This window comes from Homo sapiens, chromosome 9, assembly GCF_000001405.40.
Source record: "Homo sapiens chromosome 9, GRCh38.p14 Primary Assembly".
Lineage (NCBI taxonomy): Eukaryota > Metazoa > Chordata > Mammalia > Primates > Hominidae > Homo > Homo sapiens.
The window spans coordinates 128,438,331-128,452,377 of NC_000009.12; the positions used below are offsets into that span (position 1 = coordinate 128,438,331).

General features: G+C 49.4%; 1 pseudogene, besides 1 other annotated feature; it reads left to right on the plus strand.

The window, feature by feature from the left end:
- Positions 288–461: a silencer, noted in NCBI's record as "fragment chr9:131200897-131201070 (GRCh37/hg19 assembly coordinates)". NCBI's record gives its function as "represses an EF-1alpha promoter that drives an FKBP-Casp9 reporter gene in an ReSE screen in HepG2 liver carcinoma cells {active_cell/tissue: HepG2}" and the evidence as "EXISTENCE:reporter gene assay evidence [ECO:0000049][PMID:32094911]".
- Positions 6,145–8,302, plus strand: LOC100129352 (protein PAT1 homolog 1-like; annotated as a pseudogene).

Sequence of the window (14,047 nt, forward strand, 5' to 3'; positions counted from 1 at the left end):
TTACTTTATATTTTTTAACTCATGGCTGAGCCTCTGCATCTCAGCTGGCCTGGGAGGAGGCTTCCTGATCTATGGTTGAGCAATTGGAGGGACAGAGAGGGGAGGACAGGTGAGGAGTCAGGCCGATCCAGCATCACCTCTGTGCTGGGTGATCTTGGGTGGGTGCCATCCCTTCCCTGGGCCTTAGTCTACTCTTCGGTCATTGTGGCTGGTTGGGTATAGAGTGGCCTAGCCTGAGCCCGGCTCACAGTGAGTGCTCACCTGTTGGGGCTGATGTGGTCATCCCCGAAGTCATTACCAGCCTCACCTTGCTGGTCAGGGTGGGCCCAGCCAGTCCAAGGGCTGCTGATGTCCCCCGGCCCTTTGGATCATCTCTTGTGCAGCTGAAACCCTGGCTTAGGGGAAGAGGAACCGCCTGGGAGGGGCTGGGGGAGATCCTGGGTTCCCCTCTGGCACTAACCAATGTGGCCACCAGAGGGCGCAAGGTGGCAGAGCCTGGACTTGGCCAGGATGCTCTCTGCTGGGTTGGGGCCAACACCAGGAAGGAAGCATGGGCCATAGGGAAGCTCCCATTGGTGCTGGGGCAACCCGCAGCAGCTCTGCGTCTTCTGCTCTTCTGATGGGAACTGCAGGCCTCTCCCCTGGCCCCAGAGAGTCGGGCTTCTGGGCCCAGCCGCTGTCTGTCATGCCTGCACTCAGGCAGCTGGAGGGGTGGGAGGGGAGATGGCTCCTGGCCTTGGCCATGGCTGCTTTGGCTTCCACCGTTCCTGCTCCTCTTCCATGTGGCCCCCTGACTTGGTTGTGTGAGCACTCCAGTCCTGGCAGAGCCTGACAGGCACTCCCTGAGGTTGGGGTATCCCTTGGCTCTGTCCTGGGGTTGAGGTCCAGGACCTGGCACGGCTGTGAGAAGGACCTTGGGCTGGAGCTGTGGACTCGGTGCTTTATTCGTTCTAAGATGAAAGTCATTCATTCTGGATGGCTATGACCTTGAGCGACTCACTTCTCTCCAGGCTCCAGGTGTCCCCTTCATTCATTTGTTAACCTTTATTAAGCACCTCCCATGGGCCGCAGTCAGGCCCTGGGGATTCAGCAGTGAATGAAACTGACAAAACCCCTGACCTCATTAAACTGACATTCTTTTTTTTCTTTTTTTTTTGTGGCGGAGTCTCACTCTATCACCTTCTGTCACCACACCCGGCCAAAACTGACATCCTAATGAGGGATGCAGACAAAAACAAAGAAAGATCAGAGGGTGTGAATTGCTATAGAGAAAAATGAGAAGCGGAGAGATACAAAGTAAGATCTGAGAAGTTAACACCTGAACAAAGACGCAGGAGTGGGCCAGGCATAGTTGCTCATGCCTGTAATCCTAGCACTTTGGAAGGCCTAAGCAGATGGATCACTGGAGGCCAGGAGTTTGAGACCAGCCTGGCCAACATAGGGAAATCCCATCTCTATTAAAAATACAAAAATTAGTCAGGTGTGCTAGCGGGCGCCTGTAATGCCAGCTACTCGGGAGACTGAAGCAGGAGAATCACTTGAACCTGGGAGGTGGAGGTTGCAGTGAGCTGAGCTTGCACCACTGCACTCCAGCTTGGGCGACAGAGTGAGACTCCATCTCAAAAACAAAAGACTTCGCCAGGCAGGGTGGCTCACACCTGTAATCCCACCATTTTGGGAGGGCGAGGCAGGTGGATCACGAGGTCAGGAGTTCAAGACCAGCCTGGCCAAGAGGGTGAAACCCCGTCTCTACTAAAAATACAAAAATTAGCCAGGTGTGGTGGTGGGCGCCTGTAGTCCCAGCTACGTGGGAGGCTGAGGAAGAGAATTGCTTGAACCTGGGAGGCAGAGGTTGCAGTGAGCCGAGATCAAACCACTGCACTCCAGCCTGGGTGACAGAGTGAGACTCCGTCTCAAAAAAAAAAAAAAAATAGACAAAAAAAAAAAAAAAAAAGACTTTAAGGAGGGGAGGGGCTGAGCCTTGGGGATAGCAAAAGGAAGAGCTTCCAAGCAGAAGGAACAGCATATGCAAAGGTCCTGAGGCAGAAGCAGGACTGACAGTGCAGAAGAGAGGAGGACCAGTGTCTAGAGTTGATAGAGCCAAGGCTGGGGCCAGAGCAGGGATGGCCATGAAGGCCATTTTGGCTTTTACTCTGAGATGGAGCCCCCAGAGAGATGGAGGCAAAGAAGTAACCATCTAACTTACATTTTTACATGATCACCCTGGCAGAGATGTGGCATGATCTCATGTAGTGTTATAAGATCACACCGGCTACTGTGCTGAGAATAAACTGTAGGCAGGTCCATGGAAGAAACAGTGAGACCAGTTAGGAACCCACTGTAATAATTCAAGCATGGCTGGGCGTGGTGGCTTATGCGTATAATCCTAGCACTTTGGGAGGCTGAGACGGGTGGATCACCTGAGGTCAGGAGTTCGAGACCAGCCTGGCCAACATGGTGAAACCTCATCTCTACTAAAAATACAAAAAAGTCGGGCGTGGTGGTGGGTGCCTGTAATCCCAGCTACTCAGGAGGCTGAGGCAGGAGAATTGCTTGAACCCGGGAGGTGGAGGCTGCAGGGGGCCTAGATCGCACCATTGCACTCCAGCCTGGGCAACAAGAGTGAAACTTAGTTTCAAAAAAAAATTAGCTGGGTGTGGTGGTGGGCACCTGTAGTCTCAGCTGCTCAGTAGGCTGAGGTAGGAGAATCTCTTGAAGCCGGGGGCGGAGGTTGCAGTAAGCTGCAATCATGCGATTGTACTCCAGCCTGGGTGACAGAGACTGTCTCAAAAAAAAAAAATTGAGATCCAAAAGGGTATGTCAAGTAAGTAGCTGGATACACAAGTCTGGAATTCGGGGCCCCAGTCTGGGCTGGAGATAGAAGCTTGGAACCCCTCAAGCTGTATACTCCTCCACCACAGGAACCTGTTAAAAGGCACATTCCTGCCCGCTCCCAATTCTCTGCAGGTTCTGATTTAGTAGGCTATGGGTGAGGCCTGACTTTTTTTACTCTCTCTTTTTTTTTTTTTTTTTTTTTTTTTTTTGGTAGAGACACAGTTCTCACTATGTTGCCCAGGCTGGTCTCAAACTCCTGAGCTCAAGTGATCCTCCTGCCTTGGCCTCCTAAACTGCTGGGATTACAGGCGTGAGCCACTGCACTTGGCCTTTTTTATTTTTGTTTATTTATTTTTGAGACAGGGTCTCACTCTGTCTTACTCTGTCACCCAGGCAGTGATGTACTCGCCAGAGTACAGTGGTGCAACCACAGCTCATTGCAGCCTTGACCTCCTGGGCTCCACTGATCCTCCTGCCTCAGCCTCCCAAGTAGCTGGATCTCTAGGACCGTGCTACCACCCCTGGCTAATTTTTAAATTTTCTGCAGAGGTCGGATCTCGGTATATTACCCAGGCTGGTCTTGAATCCTGAGCTCAAACAATCCTCCTGCTTCAGCCTCCTAAAGTTCTGGGATTACAGGTGTGAGCCACCAGGCCAAGGCTGGTGTTTTGTTTTGTTTTGAGACGAGTCTCCCTCTGTCGCCCAGGCTGGAGTGCAGTGGCGGGATCTCAGCTTACTGCAACCTCCACCTCCTAGGTTCAAGTGATTCTCCTGCCTCAGTCTCCCAGGTAGTTGGGATTACAGGCGTGAGACACCACGTCCAGCTAATTTTTGTATTTTTATTAGAGACTGGGTTTCACCATTTTGGCCAGGCTGGTCTTGAACTCCCGAGCTCAAGCAATTCCCCCCACCTCGGCCTCCCAAAGTGCTGGGATTACTGGTGTGAGCCACCACGCCTTACCAAGGTGATGGCTTTTATAGAAATCTGTTCCCTGACTTTTTAAGTAGCGAGTAGTACCTTCTCTTGTAAAATCGAATTGTAAGTGCTTCTGGTTCCCTGTCTGCTGAAGTCAGGGGCTATCGGCCCCTTTGCTGAGTGCCCCAAACTGCAGAGTTTCCTGAGCTCCTTTGTCTGCTTTTAAAGTTCTTTTGCTTCCTCCTTTGCTGGCATGTTGCCAGGATAAAGAACGTGGAATCTGGAGTGGGTCCCACGTGGGCTGTAGTCCTGACATGGCGTGGGGAATGTGTGACCTTGGGCATGTTACTTAGCCTCTCTGAACCTTCATTTCTCCATCTGCAAGTGAGGGCAATACTACCTTGTAGAATGCAGGTAAGGCACAGTGAATGGTATTTGATTATCTGGTCTTCTGATTATCCCAGAGCTGTGAGTAAGGATGCTTTTTGCTGTAAGGGACCAACTCAAACTGACTTAAGAAGACCATGTACAGGCTGACATAACACAGAGTGCAAAGCTGTAATCCCAGCACTTTGGGAGGCCGAGGTGGATGGATCACTGGAGGGCAGGAGTTTGAGACCAGCCTGGCCAACATAGGGAAACCCTATTTCTACTAAAAATACCAAAATTAGCTGGGCGTGGTGGCAGGCACCTGTAATCTCAGCTACTCAGGAGGCTGAGGCAGGAGAATCACTTGAACCCAAGAGGCAGAGGTTGCAGTGAGCCAAGATTGCACCACTGCACTCCAGTTTGGGTGACAGAGCGAGACTCCATCTCAAAAAAAAGAGTCACTTCTAGGCTGGGCATGGTGGCTCACGCCTGTAATCCCAGCACTTTGGGAGGCCGAGGCGGGCGGATCACAAGGTCAGGAGATCGAGATCATCCTGGCCAACCCAGTGAAACCCCGTCTCTACTAAAAATACAAAAGCAAAATTAGCTAGGTGTGGTGGTGGGCATCTGTAGTTCCAGCTACTCGGGAGGCTGAGGTGGGAGAATGGCGTGAACTCAGGAGGCGAAGCTTGCAGTGAGCTGAGATGGTGCCACTGCACTCCAGCCTGGGCGACAGAGCAAGACTCTGTCTCAAAAAAAAAAAAAAAAAAAGTCACTTCTAGATGCTTTTGAAGAAAGAACCCCAGCCAGTCTCTCCACATTGGCCCAAATAGAGTCACGTGTCCATTTCTGAACGAAGTGTTGACAATCACTGACAAGGAGGTGGGATTATCAACAGGCCAAGCAGACTCATCCTCAGAGCCAGGCTGGGCTCAGCCTCCTCTGCAGCGGTGTGCCATGGGCACTCAGTGTGATTTATTGGCAAGTGAGCCAATAAATGTTGATCAGCACCCTCTTTGGGGCAGCTGGGCAGGGCCTATGGTGGCCTGTGTGGGGCAGGATTCTATTTTATGTCCATGGTTCCTGTGGAAAGTGAACATGTTCTGATGAGCTAGCTCGGCCAAGGTGGGGGTCCACACCCCAGACATCCACTTAAGCAGTCAGCTGCATAGGACGCCACTGCTTGTCTTGGACAGGGGACCCATGGACCTCCTGCTAGAGGAGTTCTGGTCCCGTGTGCCCAAGGTGCAGCTGGCCCAGGAAGGAGGAGGCTGGTGTGCATCGCTCCTGGGGGTGGCTCCCCAGCTCCATCTTCACAAATTTCAATACTTCCCATCTGTTTGCAACTAACCTGTTCTCCTACTGGCATCTGTGACAGCTTTTTTTTGAGATGGAGCCTTGCTCAGTCGCCCAGGCTGGAGTGCAGTGGTGCAATTTCGGCTCACTGCAACCTCTGCCTCCCGGTTCAAGTGATCCTCCCACCTCAGCCTCCCAAGTAGCTGGGAATACAGGCATGTGCCACCATGGCTGGCTTTTTTTTTTTTTTTTTTTTTTTTTTTGGTATTTTTTGTAGAGATGGGGTTTCACCATGTTGACCAGGCTGGTCTCAAACTTCTGACCTCAAGTGATATACCCACCTTGGCCTCCCACAGTGCTGGGATTACAGGTGTGAGCCATCACGCCCGGCCCAAGTCTTTTTTTTTTTTTTTTTTGAGACAGAGTCTTGCTTTGTCACTCAGGCTGGAGTGCAGTGGCGCGATTTCGGCTCACTGCAAGCTCCACCTCCTGGGTTCAAGCAATTCTCCTGCCTCAGCCTCTGGAGTAGCTGGGATTACAGGTGTGTGCCACCACGCCCGGCTAATTTTTTTATTTTTAGTAGAGAAAGGGTTTCACCATGTTGGCCAGGCTGGTCTTGAACTCCTGACCTCAGATGATCCTCCCACCTCGGCCTCCCAAAGTGCTGGGATTACAGGCATGAGCCACCCTGCCCGGCTGGCCTAAGTCTTTAAATGTAATTGCAACTGGGCGTATGGCAGCAGCCAGGGGTCCCAAGTCGGTGGAGGACCCAAGCCCGGGGAGTCAGTGCTTCTTCCCTCCCTTCCCTACTCTTCTCCCCACTCCCTCCCTCCCTCCCCAAGAATCTTTGGAGGATTGTCCTGTGGATGAAGTTGAAGATGCATTTCAGGGCCTGGGAAAAGAAGATGAGGAAATTGAACAATTCAGTGATAAGACATTCGGGTCAGGTGCAATTGATGATGACTGGCGGGAAGCACATGAGTGCCTGGCTGAACTGGAAGTAAAGCAACCAGTGGCAGTTATTGAACAAACAGGCAATGGAGAGAGGGATGAAATGGACTTGTTGGATGACCATGAGGAGAATCTGGCAGAAAGGCTCAGTAAGATGGTGATTGAAAATGAACTAGAAGATCCAGCTATCATGAGGGCAGTGCAAACCAGGCCAGTTTTATAACCCCAACCGGGAAGTCTGAATTCCAGTATCTGGGATGGATCTGAAGTTCTGAGGGGAATCCAAAGACTACTGTTCAGGAAATGCCTACAGTGTCTGTATTAAAGTGTGCCTTGCCTCAGAGGCCCCCAGGTTCCAGAAGATGATCGGGACCTTTCTGAACATGCATTACCAAGGCGGCCAACTTCACCTATCATTGGCAGTCCTCCTGTTAGAGCTGTCCCCATAGGCACCTCACCTAAGCAGATGGCTGTATCCAATCTCACCCAACACTTTCTGTGTCTGACGCCTGTCCATGTTCAGCCCCCAATGCCACCACAATATCCTGCTCCCTATAGTGACAGGACATCAAGCCAGCTCTGCTGTGTCCCGCTACAGTCTGGATGTATGTCTCCCAGCCAGTTCGCCTGGGTCCCTGGATTTGCTGGTAGTCTACTTGCTGCTATGAATCCCAAGTTACTACAAGGGCCGGTTGGGCAGATGCTTCCCCCAGCACCAGGCTTCTGTGCCTTCTTTAGTGCTCCACCCCTGCTGCACCACCTCCACAGCAGCACCCTCCTGGCCCAGGACTTCACCTGCAAAACCTAAGATCTCAGGCCCCAATGTTTATACCAGACGCAACTCACTTTCATCCACAGCACTGTCGACTCTTGCATCAGAGACAGCAACAGAATAGAAATCAGCATCAGAGTCTCAATGGTGCAGGAGATAGAGGAAGTCAATGGAACAGTCATCAAGATCATCTCTGAAAGGATCCATATGCCAATCTCATGTTGCAGTGGGAAAAGGATTGGGTCCCTAAATTCCAGATGATGCAACTGCAAAGCACTGATCCCTGGATTATTTTTATTACCAGAATTACTTGGAAAAACAGTCAGCTGCTGAAGAAATATAAGGTGATGGCCCGAAAAAGGAGCGCACCAAGCTCATCACCCCTCAGGTGGCTAAACTGGAGCGCGCCTATAATCCAGTGCAATTTGCGGGCTCTTTGGGAAAGCTGACTGTTTCTAGTGTAAATAATCAGCAAAAAATGATTGATGCTGTTGTGACATCTTGGAGTGAGGATGATGAAACAAAAGTTTGAGACAAGAGGAGAAAAACCCTTGTCATGGCCGAGCGCAGTGGCTCAAATCTGTAATCTCAGCACTTTGGGAGGCCAAGGCAGGCAGATCATGAGGTCAAGAGATTGAGACCATCCTGGCTAACACGGTGAAACCCCGTCTCTACTAAAAATACAAAAATTAGCCGGACGTGGTGGCGGGTGCCTGTAGTCTCAGCTAGTTAGGAGGCTGAGGCAGGAGAACCGCTTGAACCTGGGAGGTGGAGGTTGCAGTGAGCTGAGATCATGCCACTGCACTCCAGGCCTGGCGACAGAGGGAGACTCCATCTCAAACAAACAAACAAACAAAACCCTTATCATAATTGAGAAAACCTACAGATTACTCCTTGATGTGGAGGACTATGAAATAAGTTATTGCCTAAAGCTAGAATGGATGACGGAAAGCACAAAATTTGTAGCATGTATGACAACTTAAGGGGGAAATTGCCTGGACAAGAGAGGCCTAGTGATGACCACTTTGTACAGATCATGTATATCCAAAAAGAGAAGAGAATGGTTGCCTGTATTCTTCCTCTGCTCTCCACAGAGCAAGCAGCTGACATTCTCCTGATAACAGCCAGGAACCTCCCTTTCTTTATCAAGAAGGATGCACAAGGGCCAGGCGCCCTGGCTCACTCTTGAAATGCCAGCACTTTGGGAGGCCAAGGCGGGCAGATCACTTGAGGTCAGAAGTTCAAGACCAGCCTGGCCAACATGGTGAAACCCCATCTCCACTAAAAATACAAAAATTAGCCAGACATGGTGGCACGCACATGTAATCCCAGCTACTTGGGAGGCTGAGACAGGAGAATCACTTGAACCTGGGAGGTGGAGGTTGCAGTGAGTTGAGATTGCGCCAATGCACTCCAGCCTGGGTGACAGAGCGAGACTCCATCTCAAACTAACTAAATAAATAAGTTAAAAATAGCCGAGTGTGGTGGTGTGCACCTGCAGTCCCAGCTACTTGGGAGGCTGAGGTGGGAGGATCATTTTAACCCAGGAGTTCAAGGCTGCAATGGGCTATGATCACAGCACTGCACTCCAGCCTAGGTGACAGAACGAGACACTGTAGCTAAATAAATACATGTGAAATGTGAGCTTGCTTCTATGAAAATAACTTTTTATGGCAGGTTTCATGTTTGAAACAGCTACACACAATTTCTGATAACTTTTTATCAGGAGAAATAGGCTTTGTAATGGTAGTCTCTTAAGAAATTCTTGATGGCTACTAATAGTGAGAACCTTTATTCACAGCTGCAGGTGATATAAAATTTGGACCTTTTTAGGCCAGGCGTGGTGGCTCATGCCTATAATCCCAGCACCTTGGGAGGCCAAGGTGGGCGGATCACCTGAGGTCGGGAGTTCGAGACCAGTCTGACCAACATGGAGAAACCCTGTCTCTACTAAAAATACAAAATTAGCTGAGCGTGGTGGCGCATGCCTGTAATACCAGCCACTTGGGAGGCTGAGGCAGGAGAATCGCTTGAACCTGGGAGGTGGTGGTTGCGGTGAGCTGAGATCGCACGCGCCATTGCACTCCAGCCTAGGCAACAAGAGCGAAACTCTGTCTCAAAAAGAAAAAAAAATTGGACTTTTTTTTTTTTCTTTTTGAGACAGTAACATTCTATCGCCCAGGCAGGAGTGCAGTGGCTTGATCACAGCTCACTGTAGCTTCCACCTCCCCAGTCTCAGGTGATCTTCCCACCTCAGCCTCCCAAGTAGCTGGGACCACAGGCACACACTGTGACGGCTGGGTTTTTTATTTTATTTTTTTGTAGAGACGAAGTCTCATTATGCTGCCTAGACTGGTCTTGAACTCCTGGGCTCAAGTGATCTGCCCTCCTTGGCTCTCAAAGTGCTAAGATTATAGGTGTGTGCCACCACATCCAGCCTGAAATGATTTTTTAATCTCTTTCCTTTCCTTTTTTTTTCTTTTTTGAGACAGAATCTCTCTCTGTCACCCAGGCTGGAGTGCAGTGGTGCCATCTAGGCTTACTGCAACTTCTGCCTCCTGGATTCAAGAGATTCTCCTGCCTCAGCCTCCTGAGTAGCTGGGATTACAGGCATGTGCCACCATGCTCAGCTAATTTTTGTATTTTTTTTAGTAGAGATGGAGGTTTCACCATGTTGGCCAGGCTGGTCTTGAACTCCTGAACTCAAGTGATCTGCCCTCCTTGACCTCCCAAAGTGCTGGGATTACAGGCCTGAGCCACTGTGCCCAGCCTCTTTTCTTTCTTAAGCTGTGTCCTGGCTATGTTAGTGTTTATTTTATTATAATCCTTAAACTAAACTTATACATTCTGTTATGGGTTGAATTGCATCCTCCCTGAATTCATGTGTTGAAGTTCTTACCCCCAGTACCTCAGAATGTGACCTTATTTTGTTTTGTTTTGTTTTTTTGAGACAAAGTCTAGCTCTATTGCCCAGGCTGGAGTGCAGTGGCACGATCTCAGCTCACTGCAACCTCCACCTCCTGGTTCAAGCAATTCTCCTGCCTCAGCCTCCTCGAGTAGCTGGGACTACAGGTTCATGCCACCATGCCTGGCTAATTTTTGTATTTTTAGTAGAGACGGGGTTTCGCCATATTGGCCAGGCTGGTCTTGAACTCCTGACCTCATGATCTGCCCGCCTCCACCTCCCAAAGTGCTGGGATTACAGGCATGAGCCACTGCACCCAGCTGCTCATTTGGATATAGGGTCATCGTAAATGTAATCCGTTAAGATGGGGCCCTGCTGAAGTAGAGTGGGTCCCTAATCCAGTATATCTGATGTCCTTACAAAAAGGGGAAATTTGGACACAAGCACACACACAGAACACCAGATGGAGGTTGGAGTTATGCTGCCAAGGAACCACCAGAAGTTAGAACAAGGTTGGGAATACATCCTTCCCTGGAACCTTCAGAAGGAGCACAGCCCTGCAGACACCTTGATCTTGAACTCCAGCCTCCAGAACTGCCAGACAATACATTTCCTTTTTTTTTTTTTTTCTTTCTGAGAGAGAGTCTTGCTCTGTCACCCAGGCTGGAGTACAGTGATGCCATTTCAGCTCATTGTAACCTCCGCCTCCCAGGTTCTAGCAATTCGCCTATCTACCTTGGGTGAAAAAGCCAGACCCTGTCTCAAACAAAACAAAACAAAACAAAAATCTCTTAGAATTGAGAGACTTTCAGTTTTCTACATGCAGGGATAGTTTGTCTAGCAGAGGGCATATTCGTTGCTTGTAAGACTGGCAAAATCCCTCCTGTTGTTTATAACACAGTAAACACTGGGTGAGTTTATGCATTCTCAGAAACTGTTGGTTGGGGCTCCAACACAGAAAGACAGCTGTACCTGTGCCATGTTAAATCAGAGAAAAAGGTTGTTGAATAGTAAGTGTAATATGAGTTGATTTAAGTGAAAAATATTTTCATTTGCCTTGAAAAGTCTGTAAGGTACACATTAAAAGGTCAACAGCAGTAAATAGGCCAGCGCAGTGGCTCATGTCTGTAATCCTAGCACTTTGGGAGACTGAAGCAGGAGGATCACATGAGCTCAGGAGTTCGTGACCAGCCTGGGCAACATAGCAAGACCCCATCTCTAATTAATAAATAATAATAACAATAAAACAGCAGTTAACATATATTAAAAAAAAAAAAAAAAAAAGAAACTGTTGGTTGGATATAAACTGGCCTAACCCTTTTGACAAGATTTCCTGTCTTTTTTTTTGTTTGAAACAGAGTGTCACTCTTTTGCCTAGGCTAGAGTGCAGTGGTGATCTTGGATCACTGCAACCTCTACCTCCTGCATTCAAGCAATTCTCATGCTTCAGCCTCCCCAGTAGCTGAGATCACAGGTGTGTGCCACCACACCCAGCTAATTTTTGTATTTCTAGGAGAGACAGAGTTTCACCATGTTGGCCAGGCTGGTCTGAAACTTCTGGCCTCAAGTGATCCTCCCACCTAGGCCTCCCAAAGTATTAGGATTACAGGCGTGAGTCACCATGCCTGGCTCCTACAGTTTATGTTTTAGCATACATAGGATCATATGGTATGTCTTGGGGATCTTCTCCTATTATTACTTATGGATGTACCTAATGCGTTTAAACTGGTATACAGATAACATAGATGTACTATGTTAATTGATTCCTCTGTTGATGCATATTTAGGTTGCTCCCAAATTTTTAACATTACTTTTAGACCCAAAAGTCTAAAAGTTTTAGAAGTTTTTTTTTTTTTTTTTTTTTTTGAGATGAGGTCTCACTCTGTTACCCAGGCTGGAGCACAGTGGCACGATCACTACTCACTGCAGCCTCAACCTCCCCAGGCTCAGGTGATCCTTCTAACTCAGCCTCCCAAATAGCTGGGACTACAGGTTAGTGTCACCACGTCTAGCTAAGTTTTGTATTTTTTTTTTTTTGAGACAGAGTCTTGCTCTGTTGCCCAGGCTGAAGTGCAGTGGCGCAATCTCGGCTTGCTGCAAGCTCTGCCTCCCAGGTTCATACCATTCTCTTGCCTCAGCCTCCCGAGTAGCTGGGACTACAGGTGCCCACCACCACAACCAGCTAATTTTTTTGTATTTTTAGTAGAGACGGTGTTTCACCGTGTTAGCCAGGATGGTCTCGATCTCCTGACTTCGTGATCTGCCCGCCTCAGCCTCCCAAAGTGCTGAGATTACAGGCGTGAGCCACCGGACCCAGCTTTAAGTTTTGTATTTTTTGTAGAGACACAATGTTGCCCAGGCTGGTCTTGAACTCCTGGGCTCAAGCCCAGCTCAGTCTCCCAAAGTGCTAGGATTACAGGCATGAGCCACACTGTGCCTGGCTCCCCAAAAGAAGTCTTTAAAGTTTATTTGATCCTTGATTGGACTTCTAAAGTGAAACTCTCAGAGCATCTATTTTGTGCTGGATTCTGTGGGACATGAAGAAGTGGCCCTTGCCTTAAGAGAGCACCCAGTAGGAGGTGGCACAAGATTTCCGTACACACACGAGTGCTTACAGCAGGGATATTGGGACCCATACCCAGGAGGGAGCCATCAGTGCATCCTGAGAAGTGGGAGCCACCGCAGGCCTCATGGAGGAGGGAGCATCTGAACTTGGCCTGGAGGGTTCCCACAGTTGCAGGGGCTGGAGATCCTGGCCCAGGCCCAGCCCCTGCGCTCCTGAAGTGGACACTCTAGAGACGAGTGGAGGATGAACACTGTTTCTGGTTTGGGTGGTTTGTGTGTTTGGGGCAAGGGAATTTCTCAGGTTGCCCTTATTTTCTGAAATGCACATACTCCTGGATGTTTCTGTGTAAACCATCAGCTCCATTTTGGCCAGAGCAGGAGTTCCTCTCAACTCTCCATGGGGACTGGGGAGGTGGAGGATGCAGAGATCAGACAGACTTATAGCCTCTGAGCTTCGGGGTGGCCTGTGGGTCTGGAGAATACTTCTGTGGTTCTCCAAATGTGATCCTTGGCCAGTAGCACCAGCATCACCTGGACATTTATTAGAAATGCAAATTTTTGGCCAAGCGCAGTGGCTCACTCTTATAATCCCTGGGCTTTGGGAGGCCGAGGCGGGTGGATCATCTGAGGTCAGGAGTTCGAAACCAGCCTGGCCAATACGATGAAACCTTGTCTCTTCTAAAAATACAAAAAATTAGCCAGGCGTTGTGGCAGGCGCCTGTAATCCCAGCTATTCAGGAGGCTGAGGCAGGAGAATCGATTGAACCCAGAGGTGCGGAGGTTGCAGTGAGCCGAGATCAATGCCACTGCCCTCCAGCCTGGGCAACAAGCGTGAAACTCTGTCTCAAAAACAACAACAACAACAAAGAAATGCAAATTATCCGGCCCCATCTCAAACCTATCGAATCAGGAACTTTTAGAGAATTGGTTCCTGTAATCTGTGTTTTAACAAGCCTGTGACTCTGGTTTGAGAACCACTGATAGCGATATTTACTCCAGGTGACCCAAGGAAGCGGGGCCCAGCCTGGGCTCCCCCGACCCCTGTCCACCATCCCCGACTGCTCCGTGCTCACCTCTAAGAGGGTGAAGCTGTTCCTGACTGATGGCTCGCAGGAGGATTGGGAGCTGGGATGCTGCTTGGCTAACGTCCTCTCCTGCAGGGAGGGGGTGAGGTCTACAAGGGGTACCCAGGGCATTCTCTGGAATGCTACCTCCCTTCCCGTGAATACTACCTCCCTCCCACTTAATGTACTAGGTGGCATTATTAATAGTATTATTAATCCATACATTCATTCAACATTTTTTTTGTTGATTGTCTACCGTTTACAGGTTGGTTTGGCTACTGGAGATACAGAAATGACTGTGATGTCACCCTAGTCCACAAGGAATCCATGGTCGAGTGGGGACACTGGGGTGGCCAGCAGGCAGTGACAGAGCA